General features: G+C 50.3%; 4 annotated features.

Moving 5' to 3' along the window:
* Positions 9,333-10,532: an enhancer, noted in NCBI's record as "BRD4-independent group 4 enhancer chr6:168590405-168591604 (GRCh37/hg19 assembly coordinates)". NCBI's record gives its function as "activates an origin of replication core promoter dependent on BRD2, P300/CBP, MED14 and CDK7 cofactors, and independent of BRD4, by STARR-seq in HCT116 cells {active_cell/tissue: HCT116}" and the evidence as "EXISTENCE:reporter gene assay evidence [ECO:0000049][PMID:35650434]".
* Positions 13,002-13,569: an enhancer, noted in NCBI's record as "H3K4me1 hESC enhancer chr6:168594074-168594641 (GRCh37/hg19 assembly coordinates)". NCBI's record gives its function as "activates a minimal SCP1, AML or CMV promoter by ChIP-STARR-seq in naive H9 embryonic stem cells {active_cell/tissue: H9 hESC(naive)}" and the evidence as "EXISTENCE:reporter gene assay evidence [ECO:0000049][PMID:30033119]".
* Positions 13,826-14,475: an enhancer, noted in NCBI's record as "H3K4me1 hESC enhancer chr6:168594898-168595547 (GRCh37/hg19 assembly coordinates)". NCBI's record gives its function as "activates a minimal SCP1, AML or CMV promoter by ChIP-STARR-seq in naive H9 embryonic stem cells {active_cell/tissue: H9 hESC(naive)}" and the evidence as "EXISTENCE:reporter gene assay evidence [ECO:0000049][PMID:30033119]".
* Positions 14,476-15,124: an enhancer, noted in NCBI's record as "H3K4me1 hESC enhancer chr6:168595548-168596196 (GRCh37/hg19 assembly coordinates)". NCBI's record gives its function as "activates a minimal SCP1, AML or CMV promoter by ChIP-STARR-seq in naive H9 embryonic stem cells {active_cell/tissue: H9 hESC(naive)}" and the evidence as "EXISTENCE:reporter gene assay evidence [ECO:0000049][PMID:30033119]".

Consider the following 24,887-nt stretch of genomic DNA (forward strand, 5'->3'; position numbering starts at 1 on the left):
TTTAACTTAAATCTATTTAAATATATGTAAATTATTGTAACTATTTGCTCCAGCAGAGTTGATGAGAATACCTAGAAATCCTAGCGTGTGATTTTTCTGCTTTTAAAAGGATTTCTTTCTTAATCAGAATGCCTGCTGAGAAGCTATTCACAAAAGAAGAGTTCCTACAAACGGGGCTGCCTCCTGCCTCCAGGGAGACCCAGGTTTCAGTGGGCTGTGGGTCCCAGTAGATGTCCTAAAATAGCCCCTGGCCGATGCTTTGTTTCCGTTCAACAGGCAGGTGCAGATTCAAACTGGTATCTTGCAATCAGGGCTGAGGCCACGTGGACAGAATCAGAATTTGCCCAGCAAGCAGGTGAGTCATTTCTGGACTTGAGCTGGCTTCACGTAAATCCTACGGGCATCAGAGCCCGAGCCACACATGTCCCCGGCCCAAGTCCAGGGAAGTCCCTCCACCGAGACGTGCCTTAGGCCTCTAGCCTGTGCCTGGGACAAAGCGGGCCTCGTCTTGGCAGCACGGTTAGAGGTGCGCCTTTGTGGAAGGCGATCCATAGTCGTGCTCTGGAGAATGAGCTGGGGTCACGGCTTCTAAGATGCCTCTGCGCTAGCAGTCTGCGGGGCCAGCTTTCCTGCGAGCCCCACACTTTTCTCTTGCTGATAGTAGTGACCAGCTACAGTTTGATGAGCGCTCATTTATTTTTTTGTCTGTGTATTTATCCACTTCACCTAAATCCTGATTACCAGCCTACGATGCTGGTATCACCCGGATTTTACAGCTAAGGAAACTGGTCCAGAGAGGTTGACTAACTTGCCTGGGATCCCATGGATATGAGGGGCCAAGCTATGACTTAGAGAGTTTTGGACTTAGAAGCCTGGGTTTTCCCTGTATCTCTCTATGTCCTGGGGCTGGGGAAGTCCCATGGGAGCAGGATTCTCAGACCTCAGGCCATGGGGACCCGTGCTGTGGACCCCAGGGATGTGATGTCCCTGGCTGTTCATTTCCACCCTGGCTCCACTTCCCTGCTTTTTAAATCCTGGGATTGAGGGAACATATGTCAAAGACGTGGCACATGTGTGGCTGTGGGGCAGCAGCCCCTGGAGAGAGGAACGCCCCCAGGCCTGTGCTCCTGGGCTCCCACCTCGGGTCCCTGGGGCTGCTTTTCTACAACCGAAAACCTTTCTGTTAACTGCTGAAGTCCAAGGCTGGTCCTACATACCTGGGGGAACTCACGCCAGGTAAAGCCAGCATTTACTGAGCACCTGCACAGGTGGTGAGGAATAAAAATAAAGTTCTAAGCCCCACAGCTGACTAAATGAACCCCCCTTGGCCAGGGGGATCCCTGAGAAACCTTATAAGAAATGCCTCGCTCTGCCTCCTCCCTGCCCCACTCTCTAACACCATCAGGCTTCTTAAGGACTACACAGTAACTGGCCCCTTGGAAAGCCTCCCCCACTGCGAACTTAAACATCCGACCAGCGTCCCTTCCCGACAAGAGAGCACCAACTTCGGAGTGGCTCTGGCCCTCTACGGAGGCTGTGTGCTGAGTATCTTCCTGTCCCCGCTTCACCTTCTGATGGACAGGGTCTGATTGAAATACAGTTAAATATTAAGTCTCCACACCCAAATGAGCGTGGGTCTCATGTAACATACGTGTTAGCCAACTGCGCACGCTTGCAACCCCCCCTTCATGAATATCCATGGCTCTTCCTGCAGCCTGGTGAGTATGTGCACCCAGCCAGCCTGTTCAGCACGAATTCCTGTCTCCTCCTTCCCTCTCCTGAAGTGCTTGCTTTTCGGTTTTGGTTGGAGGCCTTGCTTCTGGCCCACAGGCTGAGCTACCCTCGTTTAGAAGTAAAGCTCTGTCTAAATTTATAGATTTTGTGACTTTTCCAGTCCACAGTGGCCAGTGCTTCACGTTGCCTCAAGGGTGACGGTCCACAGTGGTTCACATGCAATTTCTCTATTTACTCCTCAGAATCATGTTAGAACCAAACTCCTGTTATTTCTCACTTTGTGTTGAGGAAATGAGGCTTACAGAGACGGAGGAGGTTGCCTCAGGCCCTAACACGAATGGTGGAGCTGGAACTGGAACCAGGGGCAGTGAAGCTGGCGCAGGGGTGTTTCTGCAAACCACCAACGCTGTGTGCTTGGGGGAAACGGAAGAAAAGGGAACAAAAGAGCAGCAGGAGAACAACTTAATCTCGTTAGTAGAATAATACTTCCATCCTAATGTGGAAATTGAACACAGAAACATTTTCCACCAGTTCCCAAAATCCCCTCCGAGTGGTTGCCATCAGTACCTAGACTGTGGGGGATCTCAGGGGAACACGGCCCCACATCCCTGAAGGATGAGCCTCCTTTGAAAGTCCTGAAATCAAGGACCCTGTAGAGCAAATGGGGCTCCCTATCTGATGCACTGGAAGCCAATACTATGACACTGGGTTTTTGAGAAAAGAAACGTTTGCTGTTGAAAATCAACTCCCAGGGAGACACGAGTCCACTCAGATCTGTCTTCCTATGCTGGCTTCATGGCAGTGATTTTATTAGAAAAGGCTCGGGGGCTGGATCCTGGGATTAGCAGGTGACTGGTGGAAAGTCCTTGGGCCTGGGCAGTAGCTCTTCACACTGCCTCAAGGGTGGCATGTGCAAACTCGGGGGTGTGAGCATGAAGCCTGCGGTGGAAATTCAGGCTGTGACATCAGCAAGTACATTCCCTGCGGACTCCAGTGGGCCGTTCGGTTCTAGCTGATTTTGGCTACTTCTTTCATTGCATACGTGGAGGGAGTGGCAGCGTTTCAGTAAGTTGTTTCCTTTTTTATTTGCCATCCCGTAAACTCAAGAAGTTCTTTTAGTCGTTGGTTTCTTTAACTCTTTGGGGCAGGGTTTCAAACGGATGGCCTTTGAAAGTGAGACTCAAGGACGTACTGACACTGGGCCTGAAAAGCCTAAGAGGCACATGGGCTCCAGGATGTGTGAGGTCCAGGCCAGGCCGTCACCTAACCGAGCACACTGGAGTGACCCCGGAGCGTAGGCGCACGTGGAGGGAAGGACTCACGGAAGGACGGAAAGGGTGGGGGTGAGGAGGCTCTTCTGAGCCTGCCCTGGCAGGGGTGCCACCCAGGCACAGCCCTGCTGTGAAGGTCGATGCTGCCCAGCCTGACATCACTGTCACCCAACCCTCAGGCAAATTAATTGCAAGTATGTGCCAACATTTTACGTCCAATTTGCTGATCATTTTTTTTTTAATGGTTAAAGTTGTTTCTTTTTGGAAGAGTAATTGTTTTTGTCTTTTGGGAGAGACTTGGGGGAGGATGTGGCAGGATGACATTGTTAGAATAAGCACAAAAAAAGGACTTCCGGCCACAGTCGACTGCCAGGGATGCCCAGGGCGGCAGCAGGTGTCAGCACTGGGCGTGGAGAGATGGGCTGGATCAAGCACTACGTTCTCTTCTCACCACCTTTTGCTTAGTTTGAGAGAATTGTGTTTCTTATTTCTAAATGTTTAAATCATGGAACTTTCCACATAGCTCTGATTCATTGCACAGCCAGCAGTGTCCTGGCCCCACGTGCTCTGATAGCCACCTTCCGTGAAGAGCGGCTGCTTTATTTCTCCAAGTGCAAAGGATTCCTCTGGAACTCAGTTCTCCACACCAGGCTTCTGTGTTGGGCTAACGCCAGTCTGCCTTTGAGGGGAAAATCCACTCCAGGGCTCATTTTTCAGGCTCTGGGACCAGAAGGAGGAAGGTCTGGCCCTGGACTGGGGGGAACTCACCACCCATGGGGCCCAACCCAACTGAAGGAACCCTTGCCCAGAGTTCATTCAACCTCTCCTAAAAATGCGAGAGAATGTTCTGGTTTCAGCCCTTTAGTTGAAGCAGTGGCTATTCACCAAATTGTCTCTGCACACCCCTGGATAAAGAAGTGGATGTTTAGATCAGTCAGTGTTGAGGAGTTGTTAATGAACTCATTCAGGATAAAACATGAAAGCTGTTGCTGCCACTTTCCCCCTCCCATTCTGTGGGGGAGGAATTCATTTCTCTAGGGAATATTTCTGTCATCTGTTACTATTTTTTTTTTTGAGACAGAGTCTTGCTCTGTTGCCCAGGCTGTAGTGCAGTGGCACAATCTGGGCTCACTGCAACCTCTGCCTCCTGGGCTCAAACGATGCTCCTGCCTCAGCCTCCCAAGTAGCTGGGATTACAGGTGTGCACCACCATGCCCAGCTAATTTTTGTATTTTTAGTAGAGATGGGGGTTTCACCATATTGTTCAGGCTGGTCTTGAACTCTTAACCTCAAGTGAACCACCTGCCTCGGCCTCCCGAAGTGCTGGAATTACAGGTGTGAACCATGGTGCCCGGCCTGTCTATTAATATTAATGCTCCATTAAAGTGAACATTTCCCTAACTAGCTGTTCTACAGAGCATCTGGTTCAAGGTGGCCTGTTCCTGCAGAGCCAATTTGTCCACACTTCCACCCTCCATGGCAGGAAGAATGAGCCCAGCCTTGCCTCCCCTCATCCATGGGAGCACGGCCTCCTGTCTCCTGGCAGGTGCGTTTCTGACATCACCTTGTGATGGATTTGTGTTTCTTGATGTCAGTCTCACATTTCCTATATAGGACAAGACAGGATTTCCAAATGAGATTGTCAGAGGGACAAGACCTTTTCATTTTGTTGTATGCAAAACAAACTGAATTAGTTGACAAATTATTTCATATAATTTTGTGCCATGAAATTGGCTCTTTTGCTTTCTGTAAGTTTCCTACTATTGGTATCTAGTAAAAGGGGCTCATTGCACGATGTGCTAGAAGCCAATACTATGATGCCGGGTTTCTCAGAAAAGAAAAGCTTGATATTGAAAGTCGTCCAGCTCATATCTGCCTTTCCGTACTGGCTTCATGGTGGTAATTTTATTAAAAAAATTTCACTGGGTGGATCCTGGGATTAGCAGGTGACTGGTAGAAGGAAAAGGGAGGTCTGGAAAGTCCTTGGGCCTGGGCAGGGTATTAGTCAATTCTCACACTGTGTAAAGAACTGCTGGACACTGAGTAAATTATAAAGGAAAGAGGTTTAATTGACTCACAGTTCAGCATGACTAGGGAGGCCTCAGGAAACTTACAATCATGGTGGAAGGTGAAGGGGAAGCAAGGGACTTCTTCACATGGAGGTGGGAGAGAGAAGTGCTGAGTGAAGCGGTAAGAGCCCCTTATAAGACCACCAGATCTCATGACAACTCACTATCATGAGAACATCATGGGGGGAAACCACACCCATGATTCAATTACCTTCACCTAGTCTCTCCCTTAACATATGGGGATTATGGGGATTATAATTCAAGGTGAGATTTGGGTGGGGGCACAAAGCCTAACTATATCATTCAGCCCCTGACCCCACCCAAATCTCATGCCTCTTTCACATTTCAAAATCAATCATGCTTTCCCAGTGGTCCCCCAGAGTCTTAATTCCTTTCAGCATTAACCCAAAAGTCCAAGTTCAAAGTCTTATCTGAGACAAGGCAAGTCCCTTCCGCCTATGAGCCTCTAAAATCAAAAGCAAGTTAGTTACTTCCTAGATAAAATGGGGGCATGGGCATTGGATAAATACACCCATTCCAAATGGGAGAAATTGACCAAAATGAAGGGACTACAGGCCCCATGCAAGTCTGAAATCCAGTGGGGCAGTCAAATCTTAAAGCTCTGAAATGATCTCCTTTGACTTCATGTCTCACATCCAGGTCACACTAATGCAAGAGGTGGGCTCCCACAGCCTCGGGCAGCTCTGCCCCTGTGGCTATGTATGGTACAGCCCTCCTCCCAGCTGCTTTCATGGGATGGCATTGAGTTTCTATGGCTTTTCCAGGCACATTGTGCAGCTGCCAGTGGATCTACCATTCTGGGGTCTGGAGGACAGTGGCCCCCTTCTCACAGCTCCACTAGGCAGTGCCCCAGTAGGGAGTCTGTGTGAGAGCTCTGACCCCACATTTCCCTTCCACACTGCCCTAGCAGAGGTTCTCCATGAAAGCCCCGCCCCTGCAGCAAAGTTCTGCCTGGACATTCAGGCCTTTCCATACATCCTCTGAAATCTAGGTAGAGGTTCCAAAACCTCAGTTCTTGACTTCTGTGTACCTGCAGGCCCAATACCACATGTACACCTCCAAAGCTTGGGACTTGCACCCTCTGAAGCAACAGCCTGAGCCGTATGTTGGCCCCTTTTAGCCACAGCTGGGATGCAGGGCACCAAGTCCCGAGACTGCACAAAGCAGCAAGGGCCCGGGCCCAGCCCCCAAAACCATTCTTTCCTCCTAGGTCTCCCAGCCTGTGATGGGAGGGCTGCCATGAAGACCTCTGACATGTCTTAGAGACATTTTTCCCATTGTCTTGGCAATTAACATTTGGCTCCTTGTTACTTATGCAAATTTCTATAGCCGGCTTGAATTTCGCCTCAGAAAATTCTTTTTTACTTTCTATCCCATTGTCTGGCTGCAAGTTTTCTAGACTTTTATGCTCTGCTTACCTTTTAAACCTAAGTTCCAATCCCAAACCATCTCTCTGAAGTTCAAAGTTCCACTAGGGCTGGGCAAAATGCTGCCCATCTCTTTGTGAAAGCATAGCAAGAGTCACCTTTATTCCAGTTCCCAAGAAGTTCCTCATCTCTCTCTGAGTCCACCTCAGCCTGGACTTCATTGTCCATATCACTATCAGCATTTTGGACAAAACCATTCAAGAAGTCTCTAGGAAGCTCCAAACTTTTCCACATTTTCCTGTCTTCTTCTGAGCCCTCCAAACTATTCCAACCTCTGCCCGTTACCCAGTTTCAAAGTCATTTCCACATTTTCAGGTATCTTAATAGCAGTACCCCACTCCCAGTACCAATTTACTATATTAGTCTGTTCTCACACTGCTATAAAGAACTTCCTGAGACTGGATAATTTATAAAGGAAAGAGGCTTAATTGACTCACGGTTCCGCATGGCTGGAGAGGCCCTCAGGAAACTTACGATCATGGAGAAAGTCAAAGAGGAAGCAGGCACCTTCTTCACAAAGTGGAAGGTAGGAGAAGTGCTGAGCAAAGTGGGAAGAGCCACTTATAAAACCATCAGGTGTCATGAGAACTCACTCACTGTCACCAGAACAGCTTGGGGAAAATTGCCCCCATGACTCAGTTACCTCCCTTGACACGTGGGGGTTATGCGGATTATGGGGACTATAATTCACCATGAGATTTGGGTGGGGACACAAAGCCTAGCCATATCAGGCAGTCACCTCTTCATGTTACCTCCTCAGTCACATGTGCAGATTCACAGGAGTGAGCATGAAACCCATGGTGGAAATTCAGGCTGTGATGTCAGCACATGCGTTCTCCACAGACTCCAGTGGCCATTTGGGCTCAGCCCGTTTTCACCAGCTCCTTCATCTCATGAGTGGAGGGAGGGCTTGTATTTCTCAAGTTTTTTTTTTTAATCTGTCATCCTATAAAATCAAGAATTTCTATTAGTCATTTTTTTTAGCTTTTTGAGGCAGTTTCATTATTTCATACACTATTGTTTTTTTCTTTCTTGAATGAAAATCTTTGAAAGAAATGGCTTTTGTTTCTTATTCAACTTCCCATAAAAACCTATCTATCCCTAGACTTTATGTGCAAAAGGATAATAATTATGTAATAAGATAATACATAATTATCTTAATTAATATAAAGATTATGATTCTAAAATAACCTATAGAAATATTAGCTGTGTTTAGGTGACCACATTATTGGTTATTGTAAATGATCTATTTTCAAGATTTATGAGATGTTATGTTACATTTGTAAATTTAAAAATGCATTCAGCAACACTTGCTGATTAACTGCCAGGAGCTGGGTGTTGTGCCTGGGCCCTGTGGCTGCAGAAACGTCCTGAGAAAAACCCATTGCTCTGTTTCATGTTTGGCAGGGCTCTTGGGCCATCAGGTGGCTGGGCTCACTGTTGTCAAAGGATGTGAGCTGGGGCGGGGGCGGGCACATCGGGGGGACATCTGGGCTGGTCTGAAGAATGATTCCAGGTCCGCAGTGTTAGGTCTTATTGGTGAAGAAGGGGCTGAGCTGGGGAGGCCGTTTCAGGTGAAGGGAGAATAATGAGGAGCTAGAAACGCAGGTGCAATTCTGAAGAATCCTGTGCATCTTAGGCTGGCGAAAGACATGACGTGCCCCGCCCTCCATGGGGCATGGCCAGCAAGCGGGGATGGGTGGGGGAGCAGCTGAAGGTCAGATTATGTTAAAAGCCACAGGGACAGACTCAGAGCTTGCTGGGAAGAGGCATAGAGTGGACGCCCCAGGCTGCTTTTTCCAGTCACTGATGTGGAAATCACAGGACTGGGTCACCAATCATATAATTAATATCTGCAGGAAAAATGTCAGCAGTGTCCTCAGTGGGAGGATGGAGGATGGCCTCATGAATTGAAGGAGTAAATGACGTAATTTGAGGATCATTGGAAAAGTCCAAATTGTTTACACACTAAGCTTATACAATTCCAGAAGTCATCCCAAATAAAGTGATTTCTTTGGTGTAGACGTGTGAGATGGAAACGTCCTGCATGGCATTTAGGTTTCCAGACACCTGTGAGCAGCATCTTATAGACAAAGATGGCTCAGAAGGGTCCATGCCAGCTTGCTCCTGGCAAGGCCTTGGCCCTGGAGGAAGCAGCCCCTCAGTCCGTCCTCTCTGCCCCTTCTCCTCTGCCGGCTCGCTGGGTGCAGAGTTCCCTGGCATTTCTGGTGCTCCCTCAGTCTGTCCCAGTATCCAGATGTCCTTCTGGTGTAAGGGAGCCATTTCCAGGGAAGAAGTCACTTTCCCTGGTCAGGAAGCCCATCCTGGAGTTCTGTGCCCGCACTCAGAACCACAGTTCAGTTCTTACTTCCCCAGCTGAGCGGTGCCCCCTCCCTTTACCCAGCCACCAGTGCCTCCTGAGTTCACAGGTGGGAGCACCAGGGTGTCCTAGTCTAGGGGGTACAAAATGACATCAGGCTAACAGTCTCACAACATTGCTGACACACAGATGGGGTGCACCCTTGGCTTGCTGCTTGCCAGGTGTCAGGGACCAAAGACAAGTCAGATCCTCCCTGCTCTCAGCTGCCCATGAGTGGGTGCTGCAGACAGAGAAGTAACTAGAGACTGCGGTGTGGACAGGGCAGCATGGAGCACACACAGGTGTGGATATTCAGCAGAGGCCCCCCCTCAAAGGCCATGCCTTGTGGCCAGGGACCTCAGCAGGACAGTGAAGCTAGGTGGCCCTGGGCCCAGTGTGCCCATCCAGGGTGAGGGCAGCCACGTCCAGAGGCCATGCAACCTTGGCTTGACCTTGACCTGGGCCAGCACTGCCTTTGAGGGGATATGCTGTTGCAGGCAGGAGTTTCGGGGAGTGGGGACCCATGATGAGTATGTGTGCGGTGCTTCACGGCTGTCTGGATGGGCGTGGAATCCAGCTACTTGCTGGGAAGGTGGGAGGCAGGAACCCCGGCAGGTGCATTTGTCCTGGCATTAGGGGCTCAGGATGGAGCTGGACACACTTCATGAAACCCAGGCAGAAGCCCCTTCCCATGGACCGGGGTGTGATAGAAGCTTTGTAAGGGTGCTGTGGGTTGGGGTTCTGCCCAGACTTCACACTGGCTTTTCTAGACCTTCTCCCTGAGGCCCCGAGGCTGTGGTTACACTGCATAGCTGGCTCCGGAACCTCGTTCAGCCCTCACTCCCTCCTGGTTGTCATACTTCTGTGCTGTGCACCTGACGTCCCTCCGGCGAGGCTCTGCCCCCACACACATCCTGCACTGTGCACCTAACGTCCCACCTGCGAAGGTCAGCCACCTCACGTGTCCTGCGCTGTGCACCTGAAATCCCGCCTGCAAAGGTCGGCCACCTCACGTGTCCTGCGCTGTGCACCTGACGTCCCTGCCTGCAAGGGTCAGCCGCCTCACGTGTCTTGTGCTGTGCACCTGACGTCCCTGCCTGCAAGGGTCGGCCACCTCACGTGTCCTGCGCTGTGCACCTGACGTCCCGCCTGCAAAGGTCGGCCACCTCACGTGTCCTGCGCTGTGCACCTGACGTCCCGCCTGCGAGGGTCGGCCACCTCACGTGTCCTGCGCTGTGCACCTGACGTCCCGCCTGCGAGGGTCGGCCGCCTCACGTGTCCTGCGCTGTGCACCTGACGTCCCGCCTGCGAGGGTCGGCCGCCTCACGTGTCCTGCGCTGTGCACCTGACGTCCCGCCTGCGAGGGTCGGCCGCCTCACGTGTCCTGCGCTGTGCACCTGACGTCCCGCCTGCGAGGGTCTGCCTCCACGTGCGTCCTGCGATCTGTTCAACTTTGCACGTTTGGCAGCCAGTGTTGGGAGGCACATTGTAGGTGTTCAATCAGCTCCAGTCCCATGGCACGGGGGCTGGGCCGGGTGCAGGTAGAAAGGTTTGGAATTCAGGAATCTGGCAGGCTGGCAGTCATGCCACCATCCAGGAGGGAGACTGAGGGGTTGCAGGCAGGTGGCAGGCGGACCTTGAGGTCAGGGCACAGCCAGTTCCCTAGAGGAGGTGATAGTTGAGGCAGGCCTTGAGACAGTATGTTGTTAGCTGTAGGTGCTCAGTAAATGCCAAGAGTAAGGCTGCCAACACGTAGCGAGAGCATGGCATTTGCCTGGCACTGTCACTTTCTCATGGAGGGCTCATGCTGGTTCAGGGAGGTGGGATTATCTCCACAGTCCCCCGTGACAGAGGAAGACATGGTGGCTTGGGGGCATGCAGGCAGCTCGCAGGAGGTGGGGCTGGATGTCAGTGGCACCTGCGTGACTCCGGAAGCCACGTGGTTACCCCTGTGCTCACTCGAGGGGGTAACTGTTAGGATGAAGTGAAAAGAGCCACCACATTGTAAATGGTTTGTGTTTAAGGTGCTGGTTTTAAAACTTTGTGTAAATGTCCTGAGTTGGCTTTTCTGCCCCTGCCCCTCGCCCTTGGGCAGGTCCTCAGCAGAGCTCCAGGGTCAGGCTCCATGCAGGGCTCAAGCCACTGCCTGCGATGGACTCAGGAGCCCTGAACTCTTTTCGATTTAAAATCACTGGGCTTGTGGAGAGAAATGGGAGGGTTCGCTTTTTTTTTTTTTTTTTTAACTGGAGGATTATTACAAGGTGTGCATGGTCCAGGCATTCTGCCCCTTCAGATACCAAAACTATGGTGAGTGTGTGTGTGTGTACGCGTGTATGAGAGAGAGGGAGAAATAGGAACGATATGAGGATAAATTTGAATCATATATTCACCTAATGAATAGCCTCCTTTAATTGGGGTGACTTAGTGCCTGGGGAGGCTTCTTGGGGAGGGCATAAGATGTTCGGGACTCACAGCCTTGAGGAGAAGGTGGGCAGCCATCCACCTGGGGTTTCTGCCCAGCAGGTGTTCTGTGAGCTGAAAGCTGACAGGCTATGGTTGTGTCCTGAGTGTGGGCCACAGTGACACCCCCATACCAGCATTTGGCTGGTGAGAAATCTGCCTTTTGAGGCTTCCCAGGCACACCATATGATTAAATACTGCTCAGAAGGATATAGTCCCTTCATTATAAAAAATTAGAATACATACTAACTCTTTCTTCTCCATTGGGAATAAAAAGCAAACTCCACCTCCTTCCCATCCCCACCCTAAGTTCAGGTTTTGCACAGTCCCAGGTTGGGAGGGAAGTGCTGTGACCTCTGAGGGGAGTGCCTGGGGCTGATGACTTTGGGGGCTGCTGTGCCTCTTCTCTTCCGACTCCTAAAGACAACCTTTTGGTCCTTGGAGGACTTCTGGGGCTGAAGTGCTATGTGGCTTTTTTGTTGTTGTTGTTGTTGTTAAATTATCTTTAAAATATTTACATGTGTGTTTAATTTCCCAGAGTTTTGCCATCTGTTACACGCTCGGTACTGCTGGAGTTCAGCAGCTGTGGGCATGAAGAAGCGGTTCCCTGGGACCCCGCCCTCCCCACCGTGGGCATCGTTAATTACAGTGTACTCTTCCAACTCCCTTCCACTAAGAATGAGCCTTTTGTTAGCAGTGCTCAGATGATCATCCCACCGGAAATTTGTTTTTAAGCACCCAGGTCTCTAAAGACCGTGCTTCTCTCTCACTGGGAGTGCTGCATTAGCCTAAGACATCTTTAATTATAGGCCACGGAAAAAAATACCAACACCCTAACAGTATATTTTTCTCTTAACAAGAACAAACTTAATTTCCTCAGGCTAAGCCACAAGAGCAGATTTGTACTTGAAAGTCACGTGGAAAACAATGGGGGCCTCTGCCTCGGTGCTGTGTGAGGGAGGTGTCACCTGCCTGTTTCCAGAAAGCCCAGGGTGCAGCCCCCAGCGGTGTCCACGCATCTCTGAACCGTTTCCTGTTCCCAGGAAACAAGAGGAACCCTGGAAAGCCACAGCAGCGATGGATTCCAATGCAGTGTATCTAGGAGTTCCGCATTAATTTAAAAAGGTAGATGTCTCATCCCTGTTGCATGTTTGAATCTCTAATTAATGTCATGGGAAATATGTTAGTTAACAAAACGTCATAGAAGATGTCAAGGAGCACCCGCCCTGTGACAGCGTAATGCTGGGTGCCCGCGGCCGCGCTGGGAAAACAGACGCGCACACACATTCTCCATGTGGTGGGTCCAGAGCGATACGAAAGCTCCCGAGGGCGCCGCGTGGGGTCCTGCGGGGGCTTCCTAGAGGCGGCGGGAGTGGGAAGGGAAGGATAGCCGGAGGGATGAGGGCCTGGCCTGGCCGTGGGGTGGGAGAGAGGACGGGTGGGACGGGCAGTGGGGCTGCAGGCATCTGAGATGAGATGCCCTGTTGGAGAGCGAGGCCCCTCTCAGCCAGAAAATGGGAGCCACTGAAAGTTTAAAAACAAAGAAATCACATGGGCAGCCTCCAACTTCGGCGAGTCCGACTTCGGCGAGTCCTGTGTGGCAGGAGATGGGCTGGCAGGAGCGGGAGGAAGGTCTCCGTGAGTGACCATCAGGACACGAAGGCAGGAAGCTCAGACACGCTGATCCTTCCACATGAAGCAGAAAGGAGGGAGGACCCCACTTTTAACAGAGCAGTGATTCTGAAGCCACGGACCCGATAAGGACCTCAGCAGAGCCGAGGGAGGGGGGAACTCAGCTGTGGCCTAGACGAGCACCGCAGGTGGTTGAGAGGGGCCGGGGTGCAACCAGGGGACGCCCTGGGACGGAACCCAGCAGACAGTCTGGGCTGGAGACAGGGTTTGGGAACGGGGGCAGGAAACGGTCAGGCATTGCCCAGGGAGAGTTTGTGGCGGGAGAAGAGGCGAATCCCTGCGGTGCGGGGAGCTGGTGTTGAAGAGAAAGGTGGAGTTGGGGGACTCCTACAGAAGATATGGGCCTGGTGGGCAGGAGGGCATCCCGGAACCAGGGGGCAGAGCTGCTGGGAAGAAGGAGGGCCCGTGCCGTGGGAGGAGGACGAGGCGCAAAGTTCAGGAAGGAAGGACCTGGAGCCGGGCCGGAGCCTTGGAGGGAGGAGAGAGGGGAGGCCGGAGTTGGAGCGTCCACCACGGTGACCGCTGTTCCCACCAGGCACTGCCCAGGGGCTGCCCATTTTCCTTCAGTCCCCACGGGGGATGTTGTGATTTGACAGGTGAGGAGAGCAAGTCTCCTAGACAGGTCGTTTTCCCAAGGCCGTGCAGTTCCCACAAGTTCAAATGTGACCTGCGTCGGGCAACTCCAAAACACTGCCGCCGTCAGCTCCAGGTGGCCCTGCAGGGAGGGGTCCCCGGTGTCCTCTGTGAATTGGAATCGGAGGCTGACTCCTCAGAGTGTGAGAAGCTGGCGGGCCTGGCGGCTGGGGACGTGCTGCGGTGTGCGTGTATCGGGCTGAAGACCTGCCAGGTTGGACGTCCCTGCCGTGAGTGGTGTCCTCAGAGGCCGCGGTTCTCTGCAGCAGCCCTGGGCAGTCTGCAGCAGGGAAACCTCTGGTCGAGTGGGTCCAGGGGGAGCCTTGGTGGCCAAGTCTGCTGTGTGGCCGCAGTAGAATCCTGAGCCTGGGTGAGGGGGAAGAGCAGAAGTTTCCTTCCCACATTTCTGGAGGCTGGGGGTGCAAGATCAAGGCGCCGGCGTCCCCGGGGCCTCCTGGCTGTGTTCTTGGAGGCTAGAGGGCGCTGGAGGCCGCAGGAAGCCTCTTGTGTGACGGCCTTGATCCCCTTCACTGGGAGGAGACCTGGAGCTAGTCATCCTCCAACACTATCACGTCGGCAACGCCTGGGTCTTGGAGGGGACACATTCGAACCTCAGCCAGGTACAAGCAGGTAAGGCAGAGAAATGGGGGTGCAGCTTCTGGGGGCTCGAGAGCCTCAGAGGAGCTTTCCACACCTCAGTGCCCAGTTCCCACCTGCCATGGCATCCTCAGGATGGGAAGGGTCCCTGCCGATGAGTCCCCCTTGCTGGCACAGCCTCTCCCTTTCCCCGGAAGCCGACTTGAGCAAGCAGTCGGCTCACACCACATTCCTCACTACCCCCTTCCTGGGCCTCCTCCTTGATTGCCTGGCACATCTGCCCCGACACCCACCTGTAAACCGCAAGGCCAGGCACCCTGGGGCCTCTTCCTGACCGTGCCCCCGACACCTCACAGAGTGTTTGCACGTGAGATGTTTGGTGGCTTGTGACTCCATGATGGCCTCGCCCCATCCCTGTCATGCAGTGTCTCTGCAAATCCACCATGACCCCACCCTGCCATGTGGCATCCCTGCAGCCCCCTGGAGCTGCTCCCCTTGAGGTCCTCAGTGACCTCCTGAGGGTTGGTTAACGTAAGGTGAATTCCAGCCCTAAACCCCCCTGGGGTCAGAATCTCCTGTTAGACACGCTCATAGCTCCTGCAACTTTTCCTTGATGTCACTTGTTAACCGGCTTGCATAATGAGTTACTTAGTAAATGGTGATGTGTCCCGTCTTTGCTACAGTCTCTGCTCCACACGGGCCGGGCAGCGTCTGAGTGGGTCCTCTGCCTCCCGGTGAGGGCAGTGCCAGGCTCAGGGTGGACCTTGGGCTCAGCAAGTGCTCCCAGCAGCCCTACCATGGCAGCCCCCACTCCTTCCAGTGACAGAAACAGGCTCTCTTTGGCTTTGCCGACAACATTCTCTTATGGTTTTCCTCCCTCCTCCTCCCCCTGCTCCATGGATGAAGTGCAGGAAGTCCGAATCTCGTCTTGACTCTGCGTGATATTTCTCTAGCCCTGAGCACACTTCCAGCTCACTGTTTAAATGAGGTGGGGTGGGCCACATGGTCTCTGGAACCTTTCTGTGAACCCCCTAAGGTACAGCTTGGAGCTTGTTCCAGGGGTAAGCCTTCATGTGGGGAGTGGTCTCTAAGGCCCCCCATTCTGGATGTGTGGATTATCATACTTATTATTATTGTTTTCTGGGAATAGAGTCTGGCACTTTCATCAAATTCTCAAAGGGTTCTGGCTCCCCAAGAAACATAAGAACTGCGGGTTTGTGGCTCCCGCGAGCCCAGATCACATCTGCCGGTTACCCCGAGGTCCCCCAGGATCACGTCTGCCGGTCACCCCGAGGTCCCCATCTTCCTCTGTGAGTTAGAATTGGAGGCTGATTCCTGTTGGGGGTATGCAAGTTCTTCAGGGACCACAGCTTTTGTCTGCTAAGACCTTAAAAAGGAGACACAGATTGGGCACCCTCTAGATGCTGAGCCCTAGGACGGGGGCTGGCATCTTCCGTCTCTTTAAGTCCTCACATCTGCCTGGAAGTGGGCACCATCACCCCCTTTTACAGAAACTGAAAGGCCAGGATCAAATGCTTGGTAGAGTCAAAGCTGAGATTTTAATCCATGTCTCCAGATTATTTTAATTGTTTTCCTTGTTCTGCCATAGATGTTAAATTGCTGGCAGATAAAAAAGCATGGTGATGTGATGGGCACGTTCTTATAAAAGCTTTATTACTAAATTTTTAGTTTCAAAATGTCATTTATTTACTGAAACTCTTGATTTATTTACGGAAACAGCTTGATTTTTAAACGGATCATGTTCTTGCTATTGCTCAATGGCACCAGCTTTTCTTTAACGTACAGGGCAGATAACAGCCCGTGAAGCTGAGCAATCCGTGCTTGTGAATTTGGCTTTTAGAACTTTGCTTTCTACCTAGGCAGGATGTGTTATTAGGCAGAGTTTTGAGTCAATAGTGCATTGTGCCCAGAAGACCCAGAGGGCTTTAGATCACTTGAGGTTGTGGCAGGTACGGTTGCTGGTGCCAACACAAATAGCCCGTGTGTTTACCCAGCACAAAGACGTGAAGCTGGCCGTGACTTCCTGACAGCCATCCCAAAGGAAAGGCAGGAAGAGGGCAAGAGATCCACCTGCAGTATCGTGACGGAAGTTTTCACGTTGTTAAAAAAGTATTCGACTTTCTATTGAATTACAATACGAAGAACAATATGCACAAAACTTTTTTCCCTCAGAAAACTCCCAGACTGAGGAGAAATTTGTCTCCTTCCCCAGATGAACTCCGCGTAACGTGGCTGAGTGCAGCGACCCCATCTCCTCCCCCGAACAGGTGAACGCATCCCCCTGCCCTGGGCTGGCTGGCAACCAAACACGTAGTAACTCTGGATTCAGAGTTCGAGATTCAGAACTGAGTGGACTTTAGACAAGCATAGAGCGATGCTGGGAACTCTCCCACCGGGTTTGGAGCCACGTGGAGGTAGCGTGGGGAGGAAAAGCTGCTGCAAGAAGAAACCACGTGGAGGTAGCGTGGGGAGGAAAAGCTGCTTCAAGAAGAAAGGACGCAGGGGAGGAGCAGGGAGGCAAGGGTCTGAGTGGAATGCGGTTGCAGCCAGGGGCTCCGTGGGCACAGGCCCAGGCTGGACCTGGGAATGGGCCGCATGGCCTCCAGTTGTGCTTGGCTGTGAATGCCCAGGTGAGCTTAAGGGCTGGCAAGATGTTGCCAGGAGACCAGAGACACCAGACCCTGGCAAGTCCATGCCACCCCTCTGCCTTTTGGAAGCCCCTTCCCTATGCATCAGGTGGAACTGAACACGGTGAGCATCTGCCTGAGGACCCCGTGCTACCTGAACACGGTGAGCATCTACCTGAGGACCCCGTGCTACCTGAACACGGTGAGCATCTACCAGAGGACCCCGTGCTACCTGAACATGGTGAGCATCTACCTGAGGACCCCATGCTACCTGAGCAGGTGAAGATGATTCAGCCGCAGTGAGCTGAGTGAGTGGACCAAACAAACTTGCTTCTCGCTGTGATCTGGGGGTGGAGGCTCTTGAGGACGACATGATTCATTGCAGATTTGCACCCTCCATGGTGACATGAATAACCCACTCTCTGAGATCTCACAAGTACAGGCCACAGCCCAGCCAGCCTGGGGGCCAGCAGGGCCCCAGCAGCTTGGTGACCCCTTCACCCGAGCAGGGCCTGTGGGGGTGGGGAGGGTGGGAAGGAGCTTCTGCTGTGGTCCCTTCCTCATCCTGCTGAGTCCAGGAATCCCAGGAACAGATCAGCCTCTTCCTGGCTTCAGTGCGCATGTATTTCAGCCTGCTCCATGGTGTTCAGCATTGCTGCCCACTGCAAGACTGCAAAGCAGAGAACTGGCCCTGTGGCGTCCATGGTCTCTTATATTTCTGTGATTGAGGGGACTCACCGATCTTATTATAACCGGATAACCGGCATTCAGGGAGAGCTGCCCTCAGAAAGCAGGAGAGGGACTGGGTTGATTCCCTTGTCTCATGTCCTGTGAATTTTCTGCAGAAGGGAAGCTGGCTGGAGGTGCCATGGCTTGTGGTGTGTTGGCCCCTTCACTCATTACAAGTGGCAGTGTGTGCTTTTCGGATAATCCCCGCTGCAACCCTGTGAGGAAGGGGCTGTTGTTGTCTTGCCCATTTTTCAGATGGGGAAATGGAGGTACACGTGGCCAGGGAGGAGCCCACTTGGAGCACTGCCCACCCTTCCCACAAAACGGCAGCTGCCCTCCGTGGTGACAGCTCATGTGCTGTGCATGCCCTGACCATCACCTCTGGTGTCTCCCCTCACTTCTTTGGAAGACCCTCCTACTGGGACTCTAAGGGCTGAGGGGTCTGTGAGGGACCCCCTGTGCGGGTGGCCCTCGTGGGATTCCCTCAGCCCTGCCCAGTGGCCTCCCTCAGTCCTGTGCCCAGGTCCCTTGGTGCTGTCTGCCAGTGACCATCACAGCTGGTCCTGCAAAGCACTAAGCCTTCAGCTCCTGCCTTCAAGAGCTGCCTGCAGAGGATGCACGGAAAAGAGGTAGAGAAGTTGGCCGTGCTCCCTTCTCCCTCACCCCCAGGGCTTGCCTCACCCCAGGCATCCTCTGGGAGTTTAGAATTCTTCCACTCGTCCACACTGCCCATGGACACACAGGCCTCGGTGCTGCTCTGCAACCCCCGTCAGACACCTGGGGAGGTGATCCCTTAAGGACATATCTTCCTGGACTAAAAGGCTGAGGATTGATTGTGTCGCTGTCTCAGAGGAGGGCTCGCTCCCAGCACAGGTGTCGCTCAGGGATCCTGTGTGAAAGGCAGGCAGGGTGTTTGCTGAGCTTGGTGGCTTCTCTTTGACATCGCTAAAGTACAGATGGCTGTGCTGAGTGGAAGCGGCCCCGCCCTGAGACATTCTGGGGTGGAGGCCCTGGCCAGGGCCCGGTGGTGCAGCTCATCCACGTGCCCTCCTTAGCCGCCACACCAGGGGATGGACCAGGGCAGTGGCTCAGGCCTTTTGGGGCTGGAGAAGCCGGGACCCAGCTGCTGGGTCTCCATGCCGGAGAGAAAGGAAGAGGGCAGGCCCCCTTGTGCAGTCAAAACTGGCATTGAGTTAAAGTAATCCTCCGTCAACTGAGACAAGTTAAAACCCACACTGAGCACTGCGCGTTCCTGGTGGCATTAAGCTTCTCAGTGTTCACGGAGAGGCAGCCTGGAGGTTGGGCTACACAGGCTGCGAGACGGTGCATAAGACCAGATGGTGGCTCCTCAAAAAGTTAAATGTAGAATGACAATTTGACTCAGCAATTCCACTGCTGGGCGTAGACCCAAAAGAAGTGAAAGCAGAGACTCGAAGGATGTCTGTCCACCCGTGTTCACCGCAGCCCTGTGTCCAACAGCCAAAGGTGGAAGCAGCCCCGTGTTCCTGGGTGGGTGGATGGGTGGATAGGTGGGCGAGTGGGTGGGTGGATGGATTAACATGGTGCAGTTCACACATACGATGGGGTCTTAAGCAGCCTCAGAAAGGAAGGAAATCAAAGTATTTTACCCCAAAATATATTTCTTTGACAGATGTTTATTATTACCATTTATTTATTTATTTTTTAAGATGGGGTCGCTTTCTGTCACCCAAGCTGGAGTGCAGTGGTGCAATCTTGGCTCACTGCAACCTCCGCCTCCTGGGCTAAAGCAATTCTCCCACCTCAGCCTCCCAAGCAGTTGTGACCACAGATGCGTGCCACCACAGCTGGCTAAGTTTTTGTATTTTTGGTAGAGACAGGGTTTCACCATGTTGCCCAGGCTGCTCTTGAACTCCTGAGCTCAAGTGATCCACCCACCTTGGCCTCCCAAAGTGCTGGGATTACAGGCATGAGCCACTGTGCCCAGCCTCTTTGATATATTTTAAAATGTCCCTGCAAAGCTTTCTCTTGTGGGGAAAGTCTACATTCTCTAGAGAACCCCCCTCCCTTTCCAAGTCTTTTTCCTGATCCAGGAAAGAATCCTCTAAGAGTCTGGCACCTTTTAAGTCTGATAGGAAACACTAACCATCTGTTCTTTCTAAAACCTGCTACCTGGAGCCTGCATCTGCATGATAAGAACCTTGGTCTCCACAACCCCTTATCCTGACCCAGACACTGCCTTCTATTGGTTCTAGGTCTTTGGATAAACTCTTTCAGCCAATTGCCAATCAGACAATCTTTGAATCCACCTATGACCTAAAAGCCCTCTCTGCCCTTTGAGTTGTCCCACCTTTCTGGATTGAACCAACGTACACTTCATGTGTGCTGATTGATGTCTTCTGTCTCCCTAAAATGCATACAAACCAAGCTTTGCCCCGACCACCTTTGGAATGTGTTCTCAGGACCTCCTGGGCTGTGTCACGAGCTATGGTCACTCACATTTGGCTCGGAATAAATCTCTCCAAATATTTTAGAGTTTGGCTGTTTTCATTGACACTCCTAAGGCAGGGCTGTGGCAACTGGGCTGCTGTGAGCTCTGAATCTGAGGGACAGTCCTGGACAGAAGCAAATGGACGACTCCAAGGAGTCTAAGGCAGACAGTGGGAGGGATGCGGCTGACACAGTGCCAGGCCAGGCCCATACGGGGCTGTCCGAGTTATTCCCACCAAACTCCTGGAAAAATGCAAAACATTGCAGGTTACCCTTGAGCCCAGGGCAAAGGCCCTTTGACCTTCTTGGGCAATCCTGCTGCAAGTACGATGACGTATCGGAAATGAACCATTGGTGCACAGATCATAAGGCACAGTTGTAACCTACCATAAACAGAAAGTATCTGAGACAGGTCTCAATCAATGTAGAGGTTTATTTTGCCAAGACTGAGGATGTGCCTGGGAAAAAGGAACACAAAACCACAGGAACATCTGAGATTTCTGCTTTGTCCAAGCAGGGTTTGGGGACTTCAATATTTAAAGTGGAAAGAGAAGGCAGTAGGGGAAAGAGGGAAAAAAAGTTGGGAGGGGATAGGAAAAAGGGGCAATGGCTGTATTCTTTCGAGGCCTTGATCAGCATTCACTGAATCCACATTTTACATAGGAGGCAGCAGAGGAATAGTCAATTACACATTGTCTCACTCTGTGAACCTGCACTAATAGGCATTTGTCTCAGGTGGGCGGAGGGATGACTCCTGGTCCCGTCTTTCTCCTGTACCTGTGAAGATAAACTGGTAATTTACATTGTCGGGGTGAAATTCAACAGAACTCTTTTAGGGTAAAGATCGTGGGGCCCACAAGGAATTTCCCTGTGAACAAATTGTGAAGGAGACCCCCCAAGGGAGGGATGTGGCCTTTTATCTTTGAAGGTACAAAAATGACAGGCAGTTTTGTGTGGCCAAAGGTCAAAAGCCCCTGCTGGCTGTGGAGTCTTGCATGTATTTTTGTTTACTGTTGTCCTCATCTGGACTCGGCCTGTTTTTATGATGGCCACAAGAGGACCTCAGCACTCAGGCGAGGCTTCAGAGCTCAGAGCCAGGTGGCCACCTGCTGCCTCGCCCGTGTGGACGGGGGATGCCCTCCTCTCAGAGACGCATATGGACCAAGTTGTCTCTGCTGGTATCCAAACTTCTTCTCCACAGGCCCGTGGGGAGGCCTCAAACCCAAGACCCCCACCCAACTTGGGTCAATCAGGTAAGCTAGGAATGGAAGAGAACTGGAATATTCAGGCACCGTTTTCCTTCCATAGCTGACAGCTGAATACTGATTTAGTTACCACGAAGAAAGAGGGGAATGTGGGTGGCAGACCTAGGTGGCCTCCCTGGAATTCCATGTCCCAAGTGGTCCTTCAATTGCAATGTGAATACAGCTGTGGTACCTCAGTCAAGATTCCTGCCTTTTTGTGAATCCACCTTCCTGCACTGCAATGGACGTGTGGCTTCTTGGTGCCTGGCCTCCACGAATCCGACTCCTGGCAGCCCCTGACTTCTTTTGGGGGATTCCTCCTGCTCCCACTCTCAGGTCATGCAGGTTCAGTGGAATGGATTCGGGTTCCATCTCCAGGGAAGCAAGAGGTCAAGCCTGGAATCCTCTGAAGAAAGGGTTTGGTTCAGCCATGAATGTTTTGCTCAAGTTAGACTAATCAGAATCAGGATTTAATTCTGGGGTTTTGGTGTGAACTGAGTGAAGCAGCAGGATGTAGTCCTGCCATTTTTCAGGGACAAGAGAGGCGTGGTCTCAGAAGAGAGCTAACACAGAGAGGGATAATCTAGGGGAGGGAAAGGAGAGATCAGAGCATATCTGAGCACTTGAGGTCTGTCCTGGCTTGCTCAGGCCTCCACAACCAAGTACCATGAACTGGGCAGCTTATCCAATGGAAACTTCCTGTCTCTGTCCTGGAGACTAGAAGTACAAGATCAAGGTGTTACCTGGACCCTGTGGCTCAGGTCGCGGCCTCCTTAAGGGATTTGCTATTTCCTTTGTGATTTATTGATCCAGTGGTGTTCAAGAGTGTATGGTTTAATTTCCACGTATTTTGAATTCAAGTAGTGTGATATTTTTCCAGCTCTGTGGTTTTTGCTCAAGATTGCTTTGGTTACTTGGGGTCTTTTGTGGTTCCATAAGAAATTAAGGGGTTTTTTTTAATCCTGTGAAAAATGTTATTGGAATTTTGTTAGGGATTGCATTGAATCTTTAATCACTTTGGGGAGTATGGACATTTTAACAATATTAATTCTTTCAATTCATGAACATGGAATATCTTTACATCTTTTTATAAAAACTTCTTCAGTTTTTCTCACCAGTGTTTTATAGTTTTCAGTGTACAGATATTTCACCTCCTTAGTTAAACTTATTCCTAAGTATTTCTCTAGCTATTGTAAATTGAATTGTTTTCTTAATTTCTTTTTTAAATATATTGTTAGTATACAGCAATGCTACTGATTTTTGTGTGTTGATTTTTTATCCTTCAACTTTACTGAATTTGTTTGTTAGTTCTAACAGTTTTTTAAAGCTATAGTAATCAAAACAATATGGCAGTGGCACAAAAAACATACATATAGACCAGTGGAACAAAACAGAGAGCCCAGAAATAATCCATGCTTTTACAGTTCATTGACTTTCAACAAAGAACACACAATGGGGAAAGGACAGTCTCTTCAATAAATGGTGTTGGGAAAACTGGATATCCACATATAGAAGAATGAAATTAGACCCTTACCTCACACCAGACACAAAAATCAACTAAAAATGGATTAAAGACTTAAACATAAGAACTGAAACTGTAAAGCTACTATAAGAAAACACAAGGAGAAACCTCCATGACATTGGCCAGGGCAATGAATTTTTTTAATATGAATCCTAAAAGCACTGGCAACAAAAGCAAAAATAGATAAATGGGATTACATCAAGCTAAAAAGCTTCTGCACAGTGAAGAAAATAATCAACAGAGTGAAGAGACAACCTGTGGAACAGGATAAAATATTTGCAAACTATGCATCCAATAATGGGTTAATATCAAAAATATATGAGGGATTCAAACAACTCAGTGGCAAGAAAACAAATAATCTGATTAGAAAATGAACAAGAAACCTGAATGGATATTTCTCAAAAGAAGACAAACGTTTCTCAAAAGGACATATGGATGGCCAAAAGGTATATGAAAAAATGCTCAACATCACTAATCATCAAGAAAATGCACAATGAAATATCACCTCACTTCTGTTAGGAGAGCTGTTATCAAAAAGATAACATGTTGGCAAAGATGAAGAGAAAAGGGAAGCCTTGTAGACTGTTGGTGGGAATGTAGATTAGTACAGCTATTGTGGAAAACAGCATGAAACTTCCTCAAAATATTAACAAAAGAACAACCACATGATTTGGCAATTCCACTTCTGAGTATATATCCAAAGGAAATGAAATCAGTATGTTGAAGACATATCTGCACTCCATGTTCATTACAGCATTATTTACAGTAGCTAAGATTCTAAAATCAACCTAAGCGTCTGCCAACAGATAAATGGATAAAGAAAATGTTACTATATATACACAATGGAATACTATACAGCCTTTAAGAAGAAAGAAATTCTGTCACTTGTGACAATATGGGTGGAATTGGAGAACATTATACTAAGTGAAATAAGCCAGGCAGAGAAAGACAAATACTGCATGATCTTATTTATATGTGACATTTATAAAAGGTAAATGCATAGGAGAAGAGAGTAGAATGATGGTTCTTAGAGGATACAGGGGGATGGGGGGCCCTAACGGGGCAGGATGGCGGCACCTCGGTTCTGGCCTGACATCTGTGCCCTGGCTGATGCAGGAGCAGGGAGGCCCTGACGGGGCAGGACGGTGACACCTCCTCTCCACACCTCTGCAGCAGAAGATCGTGCCTCCTGGTGGGGATGATTATTGATTAAAGCATCTGAATTCAATCAGAAGCTGTTTCCTGGTGCTCACATGTGTTTTCATTACCAACAGACCTGATCATTCTCTTTCCTTCCCTCTATTGATTTAAAAAGAGCAGCCTGGCCAAAGAATAAAGAAAGCAGCCCAGCACACACACACACACACCCCCACACATGCATGCACCATCCCCCCCCCTACACACCCCTCCCACATGCACATGTGTGTGCGCACATACACATGCACGCACAGGAGCCAACATACTGTAACTTTTCTGTGTTTTAGAAAACTCCTCTGTTTGTTTAGGTTATGGGTAGAAGGACTTGGGAACCTTGATAACCTCTGACTACTGTGTCCCCAACTGGGTGCTGTGTGGTGGCTCCCTGCTGCAAATAAATGGACTCTCCTTTTATTCACGATTCATGCCTCGAATAAAGACAGCAGCAGATAGTACATCTCTTTGAAAGATTTCTTTGCAACATGGATTCGGCCTTGAGAATTGTTCGATGTAAGCATGACTGAAATTTTGACAGAAAGATATTTAAACACAGGTCCAAATGCGGAATGATTCAGAAACAAGGATAGGTACAGATAAATCACCCTTCTTGACCGTAGAGATACAAACTATTGGATTCTGAACAACCATTAAGAGTATTTACCTTTATTTTCTTTGATTTTTGTGAAGACAAAAAACATTGAGATATGTGAATTTATTGTTTTTAAACATGTTTTATCTCTTCCTCAAATATCCCTACTTCTCTCCAATAGGAAGCCAGGATGGTACATTTCCTAGTATCTACTTTCACACGCAGA

The sequence above is a fragment of the Homo sapiens genome, chromosome 6 (assembly GCF_000001405.40).
Source record: "Homo sapiens chromosome 6, GRCh38.p14 Primary Assembly".
NCBI lineage: Eukaryota > Metazoa > Chordata > Mammalia > Primates > Hominidae > Homo > Homo sapiens.